Source organism: Homo sapiens, chromosome 2, assembly GCF_000001405.40.
Source record: "Homo sapiens chromosome 2, GRCh38.p14 Primary Assembly".
NCBI classification, from domain to species: domain Eukaryota; kingdom Metazoa; phylum Chordata; class Mammalia; order Primates; family Hominidae; genus Homo; species Homo sapiens.
The window spans coordinates 58,856,529-58,882,458 of NC_000002.12; the positions used below are offsets into that span (position 1 = coordinate 58,856,529).

Consider the following 25,930-nt stretch of genomic DNA (forward strand, 5'->3'; position numbering starts at 1 on the left):
GGACACAAATCAGGGCTCTGACTTTTGGGAAAGCCATTTTCTCTCTCTAATGTTCATAGTCTCCATTTGTAAAACGGAGTTCGTTACTCTCCTCTGTGGCCTGCCCTGAGAGGCTCTGAACATGGTACAGGTGCATGGTTGAAGTGGCCATGCCATCTGCTTCCCACTTTCTACCCAGCCTCTGCTTAGCTTTCACAGGGGTTCTATTCCTAAGCAGTTACTTTTGTGCCTAGTGCCATTTGATTCCCTGACACATTGCAATTAAGCAATTATTTTTAACTAATTGTTTAATATTTCTTTCAAGGTTTCTAAAGCAGTTTAAATGTTTTGTACCAATTTTTCATATTTTATAACAATCAGCTCAAAGAGAGATGGAAAGAAGATTACCTGCTTTCCAGTTGGATTGTGATGCTGTGAAGATAGGGAGTTTATGTGGAGAAAAAGAGAAATTCCATTCCACCCGCAGGAAAACAGAGATGATTTCTGACTAGAATAGTAGCAGATTGTGAGTGAGAGGTGGGCACTGCTGATTCTTTTACATAAATCAGACCCCAAATCCAATAAAAGAATGTCAGCTCTCGTCACTAAAGAGTGGTTTGTGAGCATTATTGAAGGAGGGCAGGAGGGATGGAGAGATGAAGGTAAAGGAAGAAAGGAAGTGAAAGAAGGGAGGAAGGAAAGTGGAAAATAAAAAAAATGCATAGGAATGCACATATTTTTTAACAACCGATTTTGAAGCAATGTCTATCATTTTGCATAATTGGCCACAGGAAACAGAGACCTTCATTTCACGGTTCCTTTCTCTTTTTTTCTGTTGCTCTTCTCTATAGATCTTCTATTGAAGACAACTTTATTGAAGAATATGTGAAAAGTATTGATACATTATTTTTTATTTCCATTAGTAGTTTTATACATCGAACATTCTCTTTGAGTTTTTTTTTTCTTTTTTTTTTTTTAATTTTTTGAGACAAGGTCTTGCTCTGTTCCCCAGGCTGGGGTGCAATGGCGTGATTTTAGCTCACTGCAGCCTCAACCTTCTGGGCTCAAGAAATCCTCCTGCCTTAGCATCCCGAGTAGCTGGGACCACAGGAACATGCCATCACACCCAGCTAATTTTTTAAAATTTTTTGGAGAGATTGGGAGGTCTCACTCTGTTGTTCAGGCTGGCCTTGAACTCCCAAGCTCATGTGATCCTCCTGCCTCAGCCTCCCAAAGTGCTAGGGTTACAGTTGTGAGCCACTGTGCCTAACCCTTTGAAGTCTTTAATGTCTTAATTTCTATACTTCAGGACTTGATCCCTGACTTCGGGAAATCAAAGTAGAATATGCACCAATGTATATTTAGGCAGAGCTGAAAACTACTTGACTAAAAACTTAGATGCTAATATGTAATAGTTAATAGTGAAAAGTCCCCTCTTAGCTGTAATTTAAGTTCTTATGAATAAATGAAGTTATTTTTCTCTTCTGGCTATTATACAGTATTTTAAAGAGATTATCTCATCTTTTCGGAGTATTTTAGCTAACGTATTGTTCAAAGGGCATGAGGAATAACGTACACAACAAGCAATATATAATAAAATGTGTACAATAAATAATATATAATATATAATAAGCAATAAACATGAGAATGCTACATATCAAGACTATGAGACTCAGCCAATGCTATATTCAGAGGTGAAGTAATAGCCTTAAATATTTTATTTCTTTGGGGGAATAAAGAAAGGATAACTACAAATAAATTAAAAGTAAAACTCTCGAAATTAAATAAACATAAAATAATCAGGAAGAAAATACTAAAGATAGAAACAGAAATGAGAAATGTAAAGATAGTAAAAGTGATGAATCAGTCTCTGGGTATAAGGAAAATCTATTTTATTTTAAATTTCACTTTGATATATTTATCATATAAATTATATTTATTTATTATATATTTGTATTTATAATATGTGATATATATTATATATAATAATGTTATTAACTTATTTATTTTGTCAGCTATTTTATTAATTGATAAAACCTTGCCAATTACAATAAAGGGAGGGGATAACACAAATAAAATTAGAAATGGTAATATGAGTTTTAGAGTAGATTCAGGGATAATAAAAATTATAAGATAATTGTGTCCTTATGTTGCAGTATGTTTGAAACCTCAGTGAAATGAAAATATTTTGGAAAAATATAAATTGACAAAATTATCTGAGAACAATTGGAAAGAAATAACTAAAGTGGTAGCCAAAGACAAAATTATGTAACTTTTAAATAAGATATTAAAAGTGGTTAAAGTGTTAAAAATATTACCTATAAAACAAAACAAATCCTGGGATCTTCAAAGGCCAATTAATTTTAAATTATTCCTAAATATAAACAAATACTGAAAACTGCAAAATTCATTTTATGATGTTAGCATCACTCTGATACCAAAAAAACGAGAAAGATAGTAATATAATAAGATTTAAAAATCTACAGACCTCTTCCATTTATATATAATTACAGAAATATAAAATAAAATAACTAAACTGTTTATAATATGAGTAGTCTTTCCATCATGGTAGGTAGGCTCAGGATACATTTGGAAAGAGGTGAGGAGGTCATTGCATTTTTTTATCCTTTGTTAGAAGAGGACTCACTGCTGGAAAAGTGGCAGACAGGTGGAGTACCTTCATCAACTCTGACAAAATAGGTGATCACAGAACCAATTAGAATGTGTTTTCAGGAAATGATTTGATTCTGGATATTTTTACTGGAATATGGGGACTGGGGTTAAAGTCAAGAAATAGTCATGCTTTATTTTGTATTGCTTACACTATTTTCAAAGTTATCATTTCACAGAACAATTATAAATCAGCATTCTGCATTAAATCCTCAATGTAAGCAGGCTAGTGCTACACTCTCTTTGAACATGGTTCAAAGAGGTAAAATTAATTGTTAGTTGCCAATAAACTTCATGCATAGTGGGCCCCTCAGTATATTTGTTAGTGATCTGGCTCATTCTTCTCTTGCCACCCTGTGTCATATCCATTTATAAGGTCTCTATCTCTCTCTTTCCCTCTGGTTCTCTCTTTTTCTCTCTTTTGATTCCCTTCTCCCCCGCTCATTCTTTGTATTGTTTGGGGAGTTTGGTGAGCAGGCTTTTGTCAAGAGAAACCTGAATGGCACCCTCCTAGAGAGGAAAAAGCTGCCTTTAAATGCCATTCTTAATTTATGGGTAAGAGCTGCTACGGTACCTGTGTGAGGTTCCCATGAGAGTTTACTAAATGTGTCTCTGCCAATACCAATGACCGAAAGAGACCTTCCATTAACTTCTGAATTAGCCAAATGGGACAGAGCTTAATCTAATATGTGTTATTTCATTTTCTAGGTTACTTGTTTTAAAGGAAATAAAGTATACTCATAGGCTGTCTAAAACTGTCCTGGGAGATGTGCATGGAAGGACTCCATCTAAACAGTATTGGCTTCTGATAAAGCTGGGTGCATGCCTGAGGGCCCAATTTAGCTTGGTGGATGCCTTTCTCACAGTAGGCAAAGCAAGTTCCTAACTCCAAAGAGCTTTGAGAGAAATTGCACATTAGTGAAAATGATGAGCGCTTGTACTGGAGTTCTAAGATACTGTGGATAAAGGGGCTTTTTTCTCTACTGATAGCTCTGCCAATACTAAACTTAAATTCTACTTGGAGGTGGCATTCCTCACAGTAGCAGATCTCTTCTCTTTGGCCTGGTATGACCAGCACTATGCACAGTCTAGCCATCATTAGAAGCAGATTGGAAACTGATGAACTGGAGCTAAAGGCTTCTGAGGAGGCAGAGTGGTACAGTGGAAGGATAATCAAACTCACTGCCTGGAGACCAAGTGTCTTTCTCATCTCCGTCGTTAATCAGCTGGGTACTGTTCAACGTAACTCCCCCTGTGCCTCAGTATCTTTTATCTTTCAAGTGGGGATATTAATATTTACCCTGTATATTTTCACAGGACCATTATATTGATCAAATGAGGTAATAAATATGAAAATGTTTTGCAAACTACAAAACACTAGACAAATTTAAGTGATTTTGAGTGTGATATGGCATATGGAATAGTCCAACAGGTTACTGAGTTCTTGTAGGTATCTTGGCAATGTCTTCTTGACTCTCTAGGATTTTCATGAAAGCAAAATTTGCTAAACAGAGCTAGATACATGCAGCTCTCTCTCTTTTTATAGCCAGCCTTCCCAACTGCCAACCCTATTCATAGGACTTAGGAATGTGCCAAGGTTAGAAGATTCAGACATGGGGTGTGAGCCATAACTTCTAAATCAGTTTTGGAAGGATGCCAGACCATCAGTTTAGAAAAGTGATTTGAGTGTCTTCCTAAGGACAAAGAAATACTTAGAGAGTCTATCTTTCAAGAACATGTTATTGAAACTTGGAATAAAGAGTTTTAAAACGTGAGAACACTAGTATTAAAGGCACTCTAAACCAATTACAGTGTATTTACTTGGATTTCAATGGAGGGGATACCCTTTTTATTATTTGTAAGTCTCAAGAACATTAGAAACACTTCACTGAAGACAATATAATATCCAAATATGAAGTAGGCTGTTGTTTGTCCATTTAATCCACTTTCTTGCTTTTACCTTCTTTGCGAAGGCAGAAGAGCACTTATGTGTTTTTAGAATGCATGATGTACACTCAGTAGGCAAGGTACTTTTGGAGAGTTTGCACCCTTTGTCCCCTGGAAAAAACATATTATATTGTACTTCCCTTACCCTAGGGTTCCATGAAGATGCTGTGTTTGAATAGGATTCACAATAGGGACAGGTTTGTAACCTTGAACCCTTAGCACAGAAAGGCCTAGTTGTTTCACAGGGCCTAGGGCTCATTCTACATAAATCAAGGGGAGCTTCCCTAAGACCATGGATGGAAACCATAGAGGCCCAAAGGAAACTTGTGTTCAGAGATGCCCAGTATTTTAAATATCTCTTGTTAACAATGCATTGACTACTTTCAGCTAACAAAACACTCTCTGCATTTTAGTGCCCTTTAGCCAGAGGATGGTAATTAAACAGAAAGAATATCCACTTTTTCCTGGTAGGTTCACTGTTTGGGTTTGAAATGAGTTTGGGGACCCAATGGTGCATTGTTGAGTCTCTATATGTCCTTATACACATCAAACTATGGGGTTTTCCTCATGCCAGCCACAAATGCCTAGTTGGATGGGCTTTTTATTTGGCTCCTATTTTTCTTCCTGTTGTGGAAGACTCTCCTCCTGCTTAGACAGGCTCTGACAATCTGTCATGCCCATAGAATGGTTCTTGGTGCTTTCCTGTTCTAGGACAACTTCCTAAGCCTTGCATGTCACAGTGGTACTTGGGTTCTCCTTCAGTATGATGGACACATTCTCCTCATCAACACTTGAGTTGAGTCTTGGGACTAAGTCTTCTGGGTCTCACTTTGTAGACTAGCTCCTCAGAGACTGCAATGAGATGGAGTGGGTTTCTTCCAGGCCTTCTGAGACTCTATGGGTTCTCTCCCTCTTGCCAACTGCCTCTTCTCAGTGCAATGCCAAGAACAAGAGCTTGTTGTACATTTTATTCCTACCTCTACCATTACTACTTCCTGTGAACTTAAGCCAATTACTTCACACCCCTGTAGCAAGATATCTTCCTACCTTCTTAGGCCAGAAGGGTAACTGCTCTAACACAGAGATCCCCCAATTATATTGACTTAAACCCAGTAAAACAGAAGGGCCAAAATTGGTTTCAAGTCAGTAGAGGGCATTCCTGTTCCACGAAGACATTCAAAGACCCCAACTGACAGAAGCTCTGCCATCAGCAACCTGTGGTTTCGAAGGTCACAATGCATCAGTGGCTTCAGGTGACAGAAAGGGAAGTTCCCATGGGGAATCTGCGCTGTCTTCTTGAGGCCCTGGCCCAGAAGTGGCACAATCACTTTCTTTCACACTCTGTTGACAAATATGAGTCATAAAACCATGTAGGAGTTGAGGTGGGAAGCTGAGAAATCTACTTCCCAGCAACAACTCCAAAGTATGGAAGGAGGAACAGAAATTGTGTTGCATAGCTGCCTCTGCCATATACCAGGCTGGGTTACTTGGGTTACTATCAAATGTGGTAGTTATGAGTGTGGGCTGATTTTGAATGGGCCTCTGCCAGTCACTAGTTTTGTGATGATGAACAAGTAATTTAAACAATCTAGGCTTCAGTTGCTTTATCTTTAAATGGCGGCAGTTTAGGACCTATCGGACAGAATTATTGTGAGGAGCAAGTGAGTTAAGTCATGTGGAGAACCTGGGACAGAACATGACACCTATAACTACTCAATGAATGTTAGTGGCTTTTATTTCTCACTCAACCACTTTGAGATCCTGTTAAGACTCAAGATTGAGTCTTATGGCAGAATGAGATATTTATTTCCTTTGTGATGGCTTTTGAAACAGAGTACTTCTGTACTTAATGGTGGCTTTAATAATAACAATGCCTACTTCTTGAGGTCATAAACAATCTAAAATTTCAAACACAGATTCAAGGAAAGAGACAGAGACAGAAATGGGGTGAGGGGGAGTAGAGAGACTCACCATTGGCCTGGCTGGATCTTTCTTATATCTGTGTTGCAGTGGAGATTCTTTCTATCCAGCCTTCCTTCTTTCCCCCTCTCTTTCACAAGGTCAGACTTATGGCATGGTCTGAAGACTCACTCTGCCTTCTCCAGCTCTGTCCCCTTCAGCCTTGACAAGTACTTCCTCATTAAATCTCTCACACATTTAATCCCATCCTGGCATCTGCGTCTCAGAGAACCCAAACTAATACACAAAATAAATATTTCACGTGTATGTACTCAACATAAAGTGAGTCTCTCCCCAGTTGTCCTAACTCAAACCACAAGAAACTCTTTCTCCAATTTTTTTGTAACTCTACTTAAAGCTCATGCAGATACTTTATTTATGTGGGCATTGGCCAGTTTTCTATACCACTTAGTGCTACCTTTCTCAGATTATAGCCTATAAAACATATGCAAGTAGATGGAAAAACCTGCCATACAGCTAGACGAGATGATTTTGGAGCGTAAAAAAGTGTGAGCTTGTGTCAGGAAGTGCCTCTGCAGGGCAGCACAGGGATGTGCTGGAGGAGTATCCTGCTGGCTTCTCCGTGGCTCCGTGTTTTGAGGAATAGCAAGTGAGTACCTGCCTGGCACTATGACAGGTACTGGGACTACAGGAGCAAGGCCCACTCCTTGCCTTCAGAGTGCTTACAGCCTGGCCGGACATGAACAGCTAAACAGAAAGTTGCAATTCCAACTGATGGGTGCTAGGATAGGATGGTGTATTAGTCAGGGTTCTCTAAAGGGACAGAACAAATAGGATAGATGAATATATGAAGAAGAGTTTAGTAGCATTACTGACTCACATTATCACATGGTGAAGTCCACAACAGGCTGTCTGCAAGCTGAGGAGCCAGGAAGCCAGTCCAAGTCCCAAAACCTCAAAAGTAGGGAAGCCCATTGTGCAGCCTTTACTCTGTGGCCGAAGGCCCAAGAGCCCCTGGCAAATCACTGGTGTTAAGTCCAAGAGTCCAAAACCTGAAGAACTTAGAGTCTGATGTTCGAGGACAGGAAGCATCCAGCATGGGAGAAAGATGGAGGCCAGAAGACTCAGCAAGTCTAGTCCTTCCGCGTTCTTCTGCATGCTTTATTCTAGCTGCACTGGCAGCCAATTAGATTGGCCCCACTCAGATTGAGGGTGGGTCTGCCTCTCCCAGTCCACTGACTCAAATGTTAATCTCTTTTGGCAACACCCTCACAGACACACCCAGGAACAGTACTGTGCAGCCTTCAATCCAGTCAAGTTGGCACTCAATATTAACCATCACAGATGGCTGCCTAGGAAAGGTGAAAACTGAGCTGCATTGCAGAGGTGAAGTCAAAGTTGCCCAGAGGCAGATGGGAGGGAAAGGGCACTCCAGGTGTCAAAGCAGCTGGTGTCTGGGTTTGAGGCAATGACAGCATAGAGAAAGTCTAGTCATTCTGCCTGTGGGGCCAGTGGAGCTGGTGGGGATAGATGGGGGCCTGGGCAGTAAACAGCTTTTGTGTTCTCCAAGAGTGAGAGCTCTGATAACTGCTCTAATATAATGGGGTTGATACCGTCATGGGGGCTCATGGAGCATGTTGCTATTGTCGTTGGAATGGCAGTGTACTTCAAACATCTATAAACTCTCTTAGAACAACGACATGCATTCATCAGCAATGACTTAATGAAAATTATAATAAATGGAGAAAATAAATATATTTTTTCACCTTTAATTAGCACCTCTTGGTGACTCACTTTGCTGCTTTCTTTTATTTGTTCTGAAAATATATCCATTAAGCCTCAAGAGATAAGGTATGGTGCAGGGTACATGGGTAGATACTAGCATCTTAGACTTCGTTAATGATTTTACATGCAACTAATCCTTTAAACCAATTAAATAAAATCATGCCGTCAGCCACACATGTGCCCCTCTAGCCTTTACCAGTGTATATGAAGGAGTCCTGCTTCTTTATTCCCACCTCTTCTCCTGCTCTTCCTTTTCCTCTCCTTCCCTTATCTTCTTCCTGCTTCTTGGTCAGCCTTCCTCCCAGCCAGGCTCTGAATAGGCAGTTTCTAGTTGGTGCCCCTGGGGGTATGGAAAGGCTCTTGGCTCTGCCTGTGCTTTCTTCAGGCCAGACAGTTTGACCACACTTGGTTACCACCCTCTGAACTCTTGAGTTTCAGTGCCGCGTGGGGTACCTGGAAACATGAACCTGGACGACCTCCCCTCCCACACCATGGACATGCCCTACCCATAATATTTCTCCCTATCTTCCAGTTCCTGAGAACAGCCTGCCCTCATCCCAGTTCTTTGAAAGATCAGATAATATGTAGTTCAGTGTAGCAGCTATGGAAGCCTAGTTGCATGTACCTACCCAATGATATAGATACATTACAGACTCTTCTGTGGCCTTTTTGAGTCAGCTGACTCAGAAGAGCTTCTAAAGGTTTCCTGTAGGGACTTGCTGCTGTTAAGACTGCCCCAAACAGGGGGCTCAAATCTTTCAAGTTCAATCAACCTCATTAGGCAAACCCAGAGGTATAAAAAGCTGTGTTTACAGTCAAAAAATAGAGATCATTGGTTTTATCAGTGACATGCTTCTAAAATAGCAGACACCTTATGTGTAAAAATATTGTTTCACTTCCACTCAACTTTTCCAGGAATGTGTGTGTCACGCAAAACAAGACACACCTGTATAGCCTCTGAAGGGTGCAGGTCCTGTCTGCTGCTTCATTCTCTCACTACTGAAAATAAATGTGTTAAAGACTCGCCACACATAGGGATATTTTATTTTAAGCTAATTGGACACAAATAATTTTAATTTGGGTTATGATCCAGATGAAACTGTAAATGAACTTTTATTTTAAGCCAAATCTATCTGTCTAAGTGGCCCCACCAAATTTTTTTCTGCCATTGAAGAGCATGCTCCTTCTCACCCTTTTGGATTCTGCTAGCACAGATATTCTTTAAAAAACAGGTAGGCTTCTCCCGTCTATGTGGTTCTTCTTTGTCTGCCAGGTGCTGTTGAAGGGCAAAGGGCATTTTAAAGCATTGGTCTTCACATAATGCTACCACCTTGCTCTTAGCTTCTTCCATCACCACATGAAAGTTGCGGTTAAAAAACACACATCAAAGAGCAAGTCCCATTGAAAAGGCGAGAGCTGCCTGCTGAGCTGGCATTCAGAGCCTGGCTTTTGTTTCAGTGGCGACTCTGACTGTCTTCCAGCGAGTTTCCTGTTAACTCTGGTGTGGGTTCTGACTCGCTCTTGATGATATTGGAGTGTGTGTTTGTGGCACTCACTTTTAATCAGTGCATTTGAGTTTCTGAAGCAAGAACTTCTTTCTCCAGCAGGTTGAAACTTTTGAATGGAAACATCATGTTTGGGCCAGATATGTGTTTAACTTGGGGATATAAATTTTAAATCTGGGTCCTCAAACCTACCATGAATTTTAGGAAGGGAGATTTCGGGCTTTTTTTCCCCCATTTATTTCTTGTTTGATAAATATGTCCATCTTTTTGAGAGAGAGAGGCTGCCATGAAGGAGTTATGTGGGAATCATGGCAAGAGGCTGCTCTCTGGCTGTCTGCATCCAACTCAGTTCCCCCTGTCTTGCCCTGACCCCCTGTTTTACCTGTAAACCAGAGGGTGTGAGAGATTGACTCTCAGCTAGCCCAGCCACTGATTTGCAACCAGTGGGCACCTGCTGCAAGTTCAGAAGGTTGGGCTGAAGTGGGAACTGCATTATCCACAGATATTTACAAGTCTGACAACTTCATGCATATCTCTTATGAGATTGCCTGACCAGCCATAGCCATACCTGGTTAAAAGGACCCTCACTTACTATATCCTTGCCGATAGGCTGCCATTTATTGTGCATCAATACCCAGGATTCCAGAGCACCATTTGCTTAAGTGGCAGCCAGACCAACATTAGGCCCAGTTGTGAATGAGTCAAAACATATCTTCCCCAGCTCGCTCTTTGTCCTCTCTTACTTTCCTCCTACTCCATCCTCTCATTGACTTTTAGACCCTTTTCACTCCATAAATAACAAAGGTTCATGGAGCTCTGTGAATAGCTTAGCTTGGTTAATGTTTTCCACACTTGTTCTACAAAGAGCCTTTTACCCAGTCCCTACCCTCTGCACCAAGCAGAGCAGTGCTTCCATTCTTATGTGTTTTTATATATTGAACATGAATTAAAGGTTGACTTAAGGAAAGAAATCTACTGCTAGAATGTCTTTGAAATCTACCACTTCTATTTAAACACACTCATCCTACAGATGAGGAAAATAACTTCCAGGGTGGGATCAGGGCTCAGAACATGATACCCCAAAATATGATACCTTGACATGCTGAGTATTTTTGAGCTGAAGGAGACAGGAAAGCCTCTGAAGCAAGAAGGTCTCTCTGACCTTCTCCTGCTCTTCTGTCTCCCACTCCTCTTACTCCCCTAGAGCAAACCATAAAACCTAGAAAGATCACTCTCTGACCTACCTCCTCTGAAAATTGATCATCAGACCCTCATGCGACAGTTATCCTGCCCTGTACCTGGAGGGAAGGAGTACTACCACAGAGGAGCCAGGAAGAATCTGAGCAGACAGGCCTTGCTGGGTTTCCCTGCCTTAGTCTATTACCATTAGACTATACACTTTTAACCAATTATGTTTTCTACAACTATCTGTGTTTTCCCCCAAACTTAACATAAAACATGCAGTTTTCCCTGAGTCTTTTCGTCTGCATTTCTGAAGGCTCCTGGTTTCACATAAAACATTGATAAATAAATTTGTTATGCTTCTCTCTTGCTGACACATCTTTTGTTATAGGAGTGCTGGCCGTGACTGCTGTGGTGCGTAAGGAAAAGGTATTACCTCTTTGCCCCTATAGTGGTTATGGTACTTAAACAAGTTAATTTGGTGGCTGAGTCTGAATTAGAACTCAGATTTCCCTAGTCATCCTCCTGTGCATTTTCATTCGTATCACCCTGTATAAAATATTTGTTCTCCCTGGGGCTTATGCGTTTTGAAAAGAGTCAAAATTTAGGTTCATATTCAATGATAGACTTTAGCAAACTCTACAAATGAGCTTTAGTCATAAGCCACAGTTGGAGGGTTCATGTGCTTGCATATGCAATGGTGGCCTTAAAACCCTCCCAGAGACTGAAATTGCAACATATTTGCTGGCCTCTTGCTCTATCCCCAAGGGCGGCAAACCTGGTGCTTCCTCTACCTTTCTGTGGCAGGCATCACAAGGATTTGCTATGCTGGCTAATGTCCCTGTTGTCTTCTATGAGAAGCTCTAATCAGAAATAGCTTCTGTCTGCAGTCGTTATTATGCCTCATGAGAAAATTCAGGGGCCATCTTCCTGAATGAGTAACGTGAACAGGAATGAAGTTCTCCAGAAGGTCTCAGGTTGACTCCATGATATCACAGTGCACCCACTCTATGCAAAGCTTCTCTGGGATTTCCATAAAAATTTCCACTATCTAAATCTCATTTGCATTCCTTTCTTAATTGATTCTGAACCAGCCCTCATTCCCTTAGTGATACCTCCATAAAACAACTTATTTCCACTCTTGAATAGCCACGCTAACAAGAATGGGTGATTTCTACCTGTGGAAGAAAAAGTATCATTCCAGTGTAAACTGGATTTGCCGCCCACGTTGTAGAAATTCTGCTTTCTTGAGTAATTGAGGTGCTCTTTTGAGATTTTTGTTGCCATTCCTAAGGTGAACTGTGCACTTAAAGATCTTGCTATACATTTGTATAATGCTTTATCAATTTATAAAGCATTATGAAATGCATTATTTTGTTGAATTCTTGATATGGTTTGGCACTGGGTCCCCACCAAAATCTCATCTTGAATTCTACTTCCATGATTCCCATGTGCTGTGGGAGGGACCCAGTGGGAGATAATCGAATCATGGGTGTGGTTTTCCCCATACTGTTCTTGTGGTAGTGAATAAATCTCACGAGATCTGATGGTTTTGTAAAGGGGGTTCCGCTTTCGCTTCTCTCTCATTCTCTCTTGCCACTGCTATGTGAGAAGTACCTTTTGCCTTCCGCCATGATCGTGGGGCCTCCCTAGCCACATGGAACTGTGAGTCCATTAAACCTGTTTTCCTTCCCAGTCTCAGGTATGACTTTATCAGCAGTGTAAAAATGGACTAATACAATTCTAAAAGCCAAACTGCCAAGTAGCTGAAGCAGGTGGAGCCAGGATACTAAGGGTTGGAAAAGGGAGATCACCTTTCAAGAGGGAACCCATGTTTTCTGACTCCTCAGTACCAAGCTCCACATGTTTGGGAAGCAGTCACTTGCTGGAGAACTTGGGAAAGAGATATACTTGCTAGGAGTTACATGAAAACTGTAGTTATTGCACTGTTTCCAGTATCCAGCAAGAGGCAAGAGAGTTGGAGTTGGCTTTCCTTGCATACAACCCTTAACCAGCAAAGCATCCCCACAGTCCCTTACTCTCATCACCTAGGTGCCATTTCCCTTCCACTTCAGCCCTACCTTCCCTAATTTTCTGACCTCCTACCTTATTAACTCTTGATTTTAGAATGGTGGAATAGTACACCCTTTGGGGGCTGATGCTGATGTGTGCATTTACCTGATTGCCTGCCTGTATTTTCATTCATGCATTTATTTAAAAATATCTAATCACCTTCTACTGTGTACCAGGCACTGTGTAGCAGGAAGAAGATGGAGATACAATGTTGAACAAAGTAGACTTTCTGCCCCCTTGGAGCTTGCAATCCTGAGGGTGAGGGGAAGATATTCTATTACTCAAAGGTTTTGCTTGCAAGCAATAGACTCTAAAATTGGTTAACTAGAGCAGAAATGGAATTTATAAATTCTCACAGCACCAATGGGAATCTTAATAACCAAATTCAAATTCATAAATAGGCAAGCTCTAAAGGAAGCTTGGTAGCAGGGCCACATAGCCAAGGTAGCGCTGCAGAACAGTCTAGGTTGTACCTGTCACTGCCACTGCTGTCCTGGAAATTTGGTGCCCTTGCAGCTTCATTCTCATGGCTGTCACCCTGAATAGTTTCTCAATTTTCTCTTTGTTTTGCTTTATTTCCTTAAGGTTTAAAATCTCAAGTAAGGATGTTAGATTGTTTGAGTCTACACTCTAGCTACATGCAGTATTAAAAGGGATAACTGGGTCCTTTCCTTTCTGTAGTGGGAGGTGAAGGTTTTCTCTTCAACAGCACACACCTCTGAGTTTATTCCTCAATCCTTGGGATCTCTTGCAATTGTGAAGGGCCATGTGAATCATGATAAATTTAAAAATCTTATACTAAGAGTAATGCGTGGCCAGTGAAGTGCTTCAAGGTTGAAAGTAATATGGGTCAGTTTACATTTGCAAAAGAAATTTCAGTGGCATTACAGTAAGTCTGGAACAGAAACCAGACAGCAACATGCTTTCCACAAGAAATTTTAAACCAACTAAATGATTTATATTTGAATTATAACTTGTAAAATTAAAGTAATTCATGCATATTATAATAATTTGGGGTAATTAATGCTAGATGCTGTAACAACCCCAAACTCTCATTGGCTTATTTTCTTATTCACATAAAGTCCAGTGTAGATGTTGTTAGTTAACAACAAGTGGTCTTCAAAATAGTTCTTCAAGGACCCAGGTTCTTTGCATCTGATGGATCCATCATCCCTTCTGGCCTTTGATTCTTTTTGCTGGAGACTTGGTATTTGATCAGGGATCAGGGAAAGAGAGAGGGTAAAAGATCATGTGATACATTTTTATGGGCTATGCACAGAGACGCTGTTATCACTTTCTCTCACATTCCATTGGCTAATACTCAGTCACATGGCCATCCACCTTCAAAGGAGGCTGGGAAATGTAGTCTGTGTGTCCAGGAAGTAAAGGGAACAGGTTTTGATGAACACATAGCAGCCTGCAACGTACAAATAGCTTAAAAATTTATAGGCACAGAGGCTTACAACAAAAAATTGAAAAATAAACTCTTTTCTACCTCCTAGCCCATTGGCAGTGCCCTGAGTAATGTACCTCTGATTCCTTTTTTAGAGCATGTGACAGCAAGATTGCCTCTATGTTTAGCTCAATGTAACATACATGTTGTGAAGCAGGAGAAAGCATTACATTTCAGATTATTAGAGTAATTCCAGGTCAAAGATCCAGAGTTCAGTGAGGTGTGTCACCCACCAGCCATTTGGGTTGAAGCATCAAGGTGTCCCCATCACTTTAGGGCAGGGTTTCTCAGTCTCAGCACTACTCACATTTTGGAATGGGTAATTCTTTGTTGATAGGGGCTGTCCTATATATTGTAAGATGTTTAGCAGCATTCCTTGGCTCTACCCACTAGGTAGTAGTAGTAGTAGTACCCCTCCCCTTACTTGTGACAATTGAGCATTCCCTGACATTGCATATGTATCCTGGAAAGTAAAATAACCCCTAGTTAGGAACCACTGCCAGAGAGGTTGAACCTGGGAGACTCAGAGAGAAGAAGACAGATTCTGTCACTGTGGGCCTCAGATGATGGCACCACTGAGTTTTAAAGGTAAGAATTCCCCTCAGCTTGAGTTGTAGAGAAAGATGAGGATGTGAAAGAATACCATTGCTGAGGTACTTTGGTGTGAAAGACGCAGTTAGGTACAGCACACCATCATATTACTTTAAGATCCAGGAATGACTTTCTTCGTGACTCCAGCCAATACTATTCTCCATGCCTCATCCTTATCACATCTACTAGTCAGAAACATGGCAACACTTGAACAGAAGTTGGGAGTTTAAGGACAAAGAAAGCTAGGTATCAACTTGATTTATCTAGCTGAGGTAGACCAGACCTTTTTTTTTTTTCCCCCTGAAGTGCAGCCCCCTGGTGGATAAAGATTTACTCTACATCTCTGATTCAGCTGCCCTGTGGAGACAGACATTAAAGAAGAATTAAGAATGAAGACAAGAATATTGATCTCCCTCACCAATCTCCTCTAACCGATACCTCTTAATCACAGAACAAATTGGAGTCCCGGTAAACTACTTTAATGAGCATCCATTCTATTTCTTAGTTCACATGATGGGAAGAGAAGCTATCTTGCTGTCTCCCTACCTGGTTTCTCTTTATTTGTGTTTGTAATTCACTTTCTCATACCATGTCTATATTTCATTTTATGTATACATGCATATATATATATACACATACACACACACACACACACACACACATATATTATTTCACATTTTCATCTGTGTTTTGCTGTAACACTGGAGGTTTATTATTTTAGATTGTTGTGAGGCACCTGAATATTTTGCAAGACAATGAGCCTCTAGAATCTTGGTATCCAAGGAACTAATTTCGTGCAGCAAGAGAAAAAAAAAAGGTAAGCAAAAGAAAACAGTAACTATACATCTGGATTCTAGACAGTGTTAGGATGGCATAACTTGTTCCCATCTGAGTGAATTCAGTGGATTTGTATTATACAGTGCCTGCTTAAAACGTGTAGCCAAATCAGAGCCATTCTTTAAATTAAAAACAAACCCCATGGCTTTTGCAGCACTGTGTGCCTTGTATTTGCAACTCTGTTCAGTGAAACAAACTCTTGTCCCAAGAGAGTGGGCAGACAGGAGAGCTCTTAGTGCACAAGCATAAATTTCTTCCTCCTTCCAAATGATATTTTATAAAATTGTAAAGGAAATTGACACCTGAAAGTGCCTGGGTAATGCCATGTCATAAACTTTGTACTGTAAATTGGAGAGCTGGGGTAGACTGTGTTTTGAGCAGCAGGCTACGTACCCAGAAACTGGGCCTATGTTCCCAGGCCTGTCCCTGGCTTTGTGTCACCCAGGGGAAATCAGTACTTTTGCCAGGGCCTGGATTACCCATCTCCAAAGTGTAGATAGATATACACTTTTGCTCCCTCCTTGTCTCTGTTCCCAGCTGTAACTTGCATTTTTGGTATTCAGAAAATAGATGAGCCAATGTTTATGAAACACTTCGAAACCCTAAGTAAAATAATCTTATGCAAGCCTAAGTTGTTATCAACTGTATTGTTATCCTTATCATTACAATGTACATGCTGTTGCATATTTGCAAATTACATACAGTAATTACCTGAATACATACAGTAATTCAAGTACCATTACTAGTACTTGACATTAGTATTTCATATCAACTTGCAGGGCAATAAATACTGCTGGGATGCTTTCACTTGACAGTTGATTATTTATTGGTAGCTCAGGATTTGTTAGACACTATAATTTAAGAGAATTTTAAACTTTGTCTGCCAGCAACTTCATAATCTCAGATATCCTGTGTCTGGTGATAGGCCTGTGCTGTAGGAAGTTCCCAGAATATTAAAGATTCAAGAAACCTGTAAGTGTATCTCCTTCAATGCTTCCATTTTGCAGATGAAGAGATGAGGTCCAGAAAGATCAAGTGACTCTCCCAAGCTGTGTAGTTAATGTGTCAGGACTGAAACCCAAGTCTCTGAATGTGCAGTTAATTGCTCTTTTCATTGTCTTGAACTATATGGCAAAGGCAAAAAAGAAGAAAAAGGGGGTACAGAGCCCAATTGTTTTGCTTGATTGCGTGATTCCCCAATAGTGACAGAGTTACACTGTTAAGGATTTAGAAAATGTCCCCATGGTACCTTAAAAGACTAACTGAAGTTGACAAGAAAGATGAAAACCAAATGTAACCCATGGGTTAGAGACATCAGTGACATGATTAGAAGACTATGGGATGAGTTTCCTTAGAGAGCTGTGGCATAATCTTCTAGTGTGAAGTTGTACTGCTGTCTTTCTGGCAGGCAAGTAGGTGGACTCCATTTTCTATCACCTTTACAGCTGGGATATAAATGAAGATTGTCACTTCCTGGCACTTAGTTGACCCTTTGCATAGAAAACACAACAAATTGGGTGTTGATGATGGTGGAGGTGATTATTTGGGTGAGTCCACATAGAGGAACTAGGCAGCCACATCACTGCCTATGGAGCAGAGATTCCTACTTACTGTGTGGGGACATTTATCATTGACAGATATTCTCCAGGTGGTCCATGGGCTGATATTTTTAAATCATATTAATGTTTTCTTCATAATACAGAATTGTTTCTGGCACCAATTAATAATGTGATTATGATATTTCATACAACTCAGACAGTCCCAGTTTGATTTTTTATCAGTGGCAATCTATCTTCTCATTATTTTTCCTCGTAGGGAATTCTTGTTTTCCAGTGTGTCATCAGAGATCACTCTCACTTTAGTAGGCTGAGATTTGAAAAGAAGTACTTATTTTTAGTAGAGAGATCCATATTATTCCTAGGAGCATGGAAGAGTAATGACACAGCATGATGCTGAAGTATGGTATAGTGTTGGAAATACTAGACTAGAAGTCAAAGGATTGGGAAACTCATCCCGACTTACATACCAAGTAGTTTTGTGATATGACAACTCACTTAACATTTCAGGGCCTTACCTTTCTCTTCTGTAAAATGACATAATTTGATTAAGTCAATTCTAAAGCCCCCTCTAGTCATAAAATTATAGGGATCTAAGTGAATTGAAAATTGATGGCACAATTTAGGAGAAAACTTCCTGGGTTATGGAAGATATTATTATAATTCTTGTGAAACACACAAATTACACCAAATGACCCTAGAGCCAGAGCCCTGCAGCCCTGAAGCTCCCAAGGTGTGAGAGGATAGCTTTATGTTTTTATGCTGTACACAAACCACCCTTTTCCCCAAAACAAGAAGCACATTTTCAACCATAGCTGTTGGGTAATTACATACCCAAACACTAGCCATCATAAGCTATATTGGTGTTTTGTACACCATGCTATGGAATGGTGTACCATCTAAGTTCTTTCTGATGGTGTCAGGAAGACTGGGGAGGAGAAAAGAGACAGGAGGGGAGATAGAGAGAACTAAAGCATAGGCTTTCTGAGGTGGGTGTTGCTAGAATGTCCTTTAAAAAACATCTATCTAGTGTAATGGAAAATTATTAAAGCTGATACTCATGTGGCTAATAGGATCCATCTCGTTTGTCGTAGTCTCATTCCACATACATTAGAAACACACTGCAACCCAGTGGGGCAGCTCTTTGATCTGCCACTAACTTGATAACACCAAGTATTTGTCCCTTATTAATTGTAGCCATACAGTGTAATTTTTTACTGCAGCACAGAAATCCTATGGAACAGGTGTTCCCTTATTGCCCAATGTGACTGCCATAAGATTCCATTGTGTGTGTGCTTCTAGCCCTGAGATTTGAGGAATTAAAGCAGTTTAGGGAGGAGATGTCAAGAAACCTCTCTTGTTTCTGCAAAGCCATCTTAATCATGCCTGCCTCTTTTCTTCAGGTTGATTTACATAGCAGCGTGACATTTCATCATTAAGGAAGCAGGTCCCAATCTTCTGTGTCTTTTTCTTGGCTTGTCTGGCAAGCAATTCTCTTTTGCAAGCTATGAAATCCTTAAGGAGGACTTCCTGGCAAGGGAAAAATCCTCAGTCATCCAACAGTCTCTCACTTTTCTATTTTAAATCTTGGTCATGCACATATGGTTGGGCATGTGTGTCTAAAAATTTCTTCCACATTGACTAACTTGAGCTATTTAATAGATTGTGCTGGCCGTGGGCCTCTGCAGCAAATCCTGTGATGCTCATCTCCTTCCCTTGGGAGGCAGAAGACGGCTTCATGCATTTGCCTTTGTGCTTTCCTTGTAATCTCCCTCTTTTGCCCTGTTAGAACATGAAAGTTAAAACCCGCTTCTTTGCTCATTTTCTTGCAATTAACATTGTCCCTGCACTCCTGCTTCCAGCAGAAAAGTGAGATCTCCAAATATCTTGGTTAATGTCCCAGCAACTGCACTTTCCCTAGGGCTTTGCTAGGTCTGTTCTAACACATTTCTGAGGACAGGAGAGCTTGAGGACATTTATACCCTATGCTCTTCTTTAAGGCCTGATTTTGTGTGTGTGTGTGTGTGTGTGTGTGTGTGTGTGTGTGTGTGTGTGTGTGTGTGAATATAATACGTCTCAACCTCAACTTGCTCCGAAAACTCGGAATTCCTTCCTTGTTTCTGAACAGCCCCAACCGCAGACCTGGGGCCTATTATATCCTCTGAAATGATGGTTAAAGTAAATTTGGAGACAAAGCCAGGTTCTGGCAACTTTGTTTCTTCTTCCAGGTTGTAGGAAATGGGGCCAAAGGAATACAGGAGAATGGTGGGGGCATGCACCCTAAGCCAGTCCCCAGCTGTGCCTCTTCCAGGCATGAAGCCCAAACCCCCATGGTTTTCTCAGCAATTTAGCAACTCAGAGAAACTGGCTAAATGATACTCTGTGATCCAGAAGAATGACTTCTCTGCCAGAAGGTGAACAGTTCTGCCTTCCCAGAGGAGACTATGCCTAAGAAGACAAAGAGCAATAATAACAATAACAACAGCAACAACAACATAATAATACTAGCATGGGGGATGAGGAGTGGTTTAGAAGCTTGCAGAAATTATCCACCCCCACTCCCCCATTTTGTCACATTCTGTGCCTAGATAGTTTGGCAATGTCTTAAAGCTCAATGCTGCTGTAAGAATGGTGTTATTATTCTCCTGCTGGGTGGCCCCAGAAATTTCATTTTTTGTAGATTGTTAAATATGTCCCCCGAAGTTTATCACAAACAGCATGAAGGAATAAAACTCCACGTGGCTGGTATTCGGTGGATCTTCCTCCCCACTGAATGACAAGCCCTTAAGTAAAAAAAGTCAGAAGAGTATGTGATAGATGGGAATATCGGGCTTACCTTCTTGGAGGGGTGCCTTGGCAGTGCACATGGTTTCAAACTTTATATAAAAATAATACTGCTGCAGTAAATGGGAAGAACATGTTGTCGTTTTTGGATTCCAGACAAAGGCAAGAGTAAACATGCATTAAAATGGAATCTTTATTTTTAACTTACCTTTCTCTTTCTAGAAATCACATCAAAATCAGATGACACATAATACTGCATACCTTTTAAGGATGAACCAACCTCCCAGTATAATTTGCAAAATTATTACATTTTCTACTGCTAGTCAGATGTATAATGTCTCAAGGCACCACCACCATTTCATTTTGATTCTTAGAGCTCAACTTTGTTACTAATTGTTGATTCTGACTTCATTATGCATTTAACTACTCTTGTTTTGTTGTGATCTCTGGAATGAGGATATTTCAGTAATGTAGCCCCCTATTTTCCTTTATCTCATTATGTTTCCTCACCTCTTAGGGAGCATTTTCTTATTTTGCGTCTCTCATTTTGATCCTAGTTTGATGCTCTCTAAATCCAGGCTTGCAAACTAAAGTCATCAGTACCGAGAGCGTCTGGGGCACGAGACATCACAGAAATGGGACACACATTTAATGGTTGGCTTTTAAAAGTGTAAGAGCCATTGTAGAGAGGACTTGGGGAAGAGCCACCTGTAATTTTTCTTCTGTTTCACTTCTCTCCCTCTGACTGAGAGGGAGGAACACCCAGATAGTGAGTCCAGACTCAGGATTTCTCAACATGCTGGTTGGGGTCTGCTCATTATGAAAGGCCAAAGAATGGAGTAGAGAAATAAGCACTACCTCAGAATCCTGGTGAGGTGTTTTAGATTCCGCCATGTTAACAGTTGATCCTTGCATAGCCCTCGTCAGGCGCTGTTGTGAGAGCTTTACCTGGGTTCCCTCTTTATGCCTCTTGACAATGCTATGAGGAACTCTTACTCTCTTACCTATTTTACCAGTCAGGAAATGGAGGTAGAGCATGGCTATGTAACTTGATCAAGTTACAGAGCAGAGTTAGCCCATCTGGCAACAGAGGCCAGAACAATCACTCTGCTCTGCCACCTTTATGCACCACACCTACCCCAATGCAATGATGGGAAGAAGCTTGTAAGTTAAATGGTGAATGTTAAAATGCACTGCCCTTTGACTACCAAGACAACACAGGTATCTTCTTTCCATCCATAATGTATGGAGCTTAATTTTTATTTTTCCTGTTTGTGTTGATTCTCACTGCTCACTTCCTAAGACCATCTTGGGATCATTAGCACTCTTTTATTTTTATTTTCTGACACTTTCCCAGCAGTACAAAAACGAAGTTCTTAGGTATAGAAAATTTCATTCTGCAAAATAAACACACTCACATTAGAATCAAATGTATAATCTTGGATTTGTTAGTACCACGTGTTACCTAACATGGCTGTCCAGCTCAGGTGATAAGAAATTACCTGAAAACAGTTTGATGCCTCCCTCACCACCCTGTATGTAAATTCAGTCATGTACAGTATAGCAGAAGATGCAAAAGTAGAATACATTGTTCAGAATTTGGGGCTTTTATGAAAATTAAAATTTGATGCAAACACTGGAGAAAGTGATTAATATTAATTCTCGTAGATATTTATTGATCCTAACTGTGCATATGGAACTACACTAGATGAGGCAGGGAATATGAGGATACATAAATAAGGGTCCCTTCCTTTGGGGAATCATAGACTAATTGGGAGACATAATGGAAAACGAAGGGCCACAAAATAAAAATTGAAAGTTACAAGAAAGTAAGTAAATATAATAAGTTACTATATCTGAATGGCTTAGAAATTTCTCTGAATTCAAGAGGTAAGGAAAGAGACAAGGAAGTAAAACATTTATTATGAAACTAAGCTGTTCCAGATGCTTTTTTATGTGTGTTTTATGTAATTATCACACCCGCCTTACAAGGCAGACATGATTATTTCCTTATTTTATGGATGAAGATGACAACTGATCCAAAAGAATGCCTGGCCTGCCAGAAGGTGAACAATCCTGGCTCCTCAGTGACTCCTACCATGGTTCACCTAAGTATGCAGGGGTAGATTTAGATTTTTGAAGCCAGGCCTTTAGTAAGAGTAATCAAGGAAGGCTTCCTGGAAGGGGTGTGCTGATCCAGACAGACAGTATGTGGGCAGGGAGAAATCAGGGTAATTCCTGGCAGAAATTGGCTTGAATAAAATGATGGAGAGATGACTCTGCACACATATTCAGTCAGAGAAGACTTAATGGTAATAGGACATTTATTTAGGGGAAGAGTTAGAAACAATGGTAGAAAGTGTGAAGCTAAGTCTGCATGAATATGAACTAATGATGGTGAAGTGAACCATAGTGCACACTCAAACAAATCACCAATCTTTCAATCATATTGCTATATTCAATCTACAACATAGTATCAATAATATTTAAACCCTATATTAGATTTATAAAAATTGTATTTTATATTAATATTTACAGGTCACATTAAGAAATCAGCTCTTCTTCTCCCTATTATCAATTAATATTTATTGAATTGTTCTTTGATGTAAATATGCTGTGTCAACCCCAAAGTTTCCTACTATCTTATCATCATGGTCATCATTGGCTTTACCTGAGTACAGTCAAGTAAATAAATCACTGTGGGTCCAGATGTATGGGTTGCATTCTGCTGGGGTTTCCAAGGGCACTAGAAATGAAGAATAGCAGGTGCACAAGCATCTCTCTGGGACATCCATAACTTTCTAAAAATCCCCTTTGTCTGACTTTATAATATCACATTCTAAAATATTCAGGTTGCTTTTGTTGTTCTCTCCATAAAAAATTAATGGTCATGAAAGTATTATCATGTTTATTTTAAAGCAACTATTTTCCACATTTTAATTAAAAGTTGTAATTCACCATCTTTTGACCAAGTTATCTTAAATCTTCATCTTATTGGTAATGGGCATTGGGCTAGATTCAGAAAGAAATACAAGTGTGACAATGCAAATAGTAAAATCTCAGCATTTCGAGAGATATGGTTCTGTTCATTTCATGTGCTGTACTAACTCTGCCTTTTTAATTAGAAATATTCTCCCTGCTTATGCAAGAATACTGGGAAAGGGGCATTGTCTTATTCATTATGTATTCCACAAGAATCATAAGTGGACAAAACCAGGCATAATATGATGACTGTTGTGTTATTAAAGCACTTTAATAAGGTTACTCCCTCAGTAGAGTGAGCTTCTCAAATACCCGTTTCTTTTCAAGAGATGAGCTACACGGAGCAAGATGTATGTTGCTCCTCTGTGCACACGTGAGGATGATTTCTGTCTGTATTTTACAGATCTTCATGGCTATCCTACCAGGACTAGTTCTTTTTTAGTTCCCTGTCCTACCTCAGGGATTGATGTCCTAGAAAGTATTGGATATTCTATTTTAGTCCTATGGTATATAACAGGAAATAGTTTGAACTAATGATATATTGAAGAAAGGTCTGTAAACAAAGATTCACTACATCTAGGCATTTCTATGCAATGCGGTGCTGCTATATTTACCTCTTTGTCTACCCTGCCCTCCAACTAGAAAACATTTTAATTAGTATTTCAATCTCTAATCATTTTCATTAAAACAAAATCTTTCATAGTACTGAAGTGTTCTTTAAGAAAGAAAATGGAAAGAGTGAGGAAGGGTGGGAGGCAGGGAAGGAGGAAGGAAGAAGGAGAGGAAAGAGGAGAAGGAGGCCGGGTGCAGAGGCCCATGCCTGTAATCCCAGCACTTTGGGAGGCCGAGGAGGGCAGATCACGAGGTCAGGAGTTTGACACAAGCCTGGCCAATATGGTGAAACCCCGTCTCTACTAAAAATACAAAAATTAGCTGGATGTTGTGGCGGGTGCCTGTAATCCCAGCTACTCAGGAGGCTGAGGCAAGAGAATCATTTGAACCCTGGAGGTGGAGGTTGCAGTGAGCAAGATTGTGCCATTGCACTCCAGCCTGGGCAACAGGGCAAGACTCTCTCTCTCTCTCTCTCTCTCTCTGTCTCTCTCTCTCTCTCTCTCTCACACACACACACACACACACACACACAAAGAGGATAAGGAAGGTGAAAAGGAAGGTTTTTTTTTTAAAGGCCTACCCAATGGCAGCAGAGCAAAGACTTATCTATATGCATTACTTTGATTTCAAATTATTTTTAGCATGGCTTTTATTGTACTCATTGTTACATACATAAATCTTTAAAGTAATACGTTTTGTAAGAAATGGTCATAAAAATTTACAGCCAGTAACTTTTCCCCTGTCCCTTACAATGATATTCTACTAAAACCATTAAATGGTTCTCATTAATGCCCTTTAAATGATTGTGTAATGACCCACAATCGCTTGTAAGTGAACAACCATTAAAGAATTACCAGTTCTTAGCATGCTTTTAAGTACAGCTTAAATACATGGGAGGTAACATATAATATATTAGAAAAAGTATTAAATTCGAAATAGTAAAAACATGATCATCACAAAAGAATGAGTAGGTGTGCAACTTTACCCTGCAATGACCACAGTTCCTACTGAACACATTATTATAGTAGATTTTTACAGCATTTGTGCTTTTTCCTTATTGAATCTTTTCCCTTTTTTTCTGGGATTAAAAATAATAATAATAATAAAACCCTGACACAACAGGAGAGAAAGTACATATAAAAGCAAATGGGGAAAATAATTAAACCCATGTAACAGACAGCCTATCTAAACAAAAGTGAACAGTTCATCCCTCAGATACTTTGTGCACAACAGCAAATATTCACTTTTCCCCTAACCATACAGATATTTGACATGAGACTAGTAAGCTCTTGGATGATTGCATTTTTACACCTCAAAGTATTCTGCATCATGGGAATATGGTCAAAGATAGTAATAAATAATAACCCTTTCTGAAGGTGTGAGTTCAGATTAATTCCCTGCTATTGCAAGCTTGTTCTGTATCAAGCTTATCCATCCATGTAGAGTTGGACATTTGATTTGCCCTAAGCTACAAATGTCAAATAAAGACTTTGGTGACATTCTTTTTTGAAGTTCTTTCACTTCTGACAGACCTCATTTGTACTCAACTACCATTCATGGTGATGCAGCAATAGAACCAGGACCCTGGGAACCACATCACCAAATAGAGCAAGGCATAGGGTGAGCACAGTGCCACGCCACACAAGGGAGAAGAGAAAATCAAACATTTACTGCCACTTTCATCTGCTTTTTTTTTTTTTGAAGGCATTTTACCAGGAAGAGGGGTATACAGGGGCATGAGTAGTATTAGTTTTATGTCCCCAAAGACACAGCCACACGTTTTGCTTGGGACATTTTAGAAAGTCAAGCCTTAAACCCCACTCCACAACTATTGTCTTCTTTGGCCTCCTAGGATTGATGATGTACTATCTTGTCTGCTGTCTGACAAGCTCTGCATATTCCCTGTTTTCTTAGTTGCCTCGTTATGGTGCCCTGAGCCAGGGCAGGGAGATTACTGACTTTTGAAATTCTGAGATTAGACTCACAAAGATGATCAGACTTGTTTCTCCATGTCATGAAAGTCTCAGTGCGACTATTCACAATAGCAAAGACTT

General features: G+C 40.0%; 1 long non-coding RNA gene across 1 annotated transcript in view, besides 1 other annotated feature; it reads left to right on the forward strand.

The window, feature by feature from the left end:
* LINC01122 (long intergenic non-protein coding RNA 1122) overlaps nucleotides 1-25,930 on the forward strand; it is a 543,014-nt gene that overhangs the window by 335,776 nt on the left and 181,308 nt on the right. The gene's annotated exons all lie outside the window — the stretch shown is intronic.
* Nucleotides 18,408-19,717: an enhancer, noted in NCBI's record as "VISTA enhancer hs1199". NCBI's record gives its function as "enhancer in: other[3/6]" and the evidence as "EXISTENCE:transgenic organism evidence [ECO:0001131][PMID:17130149]".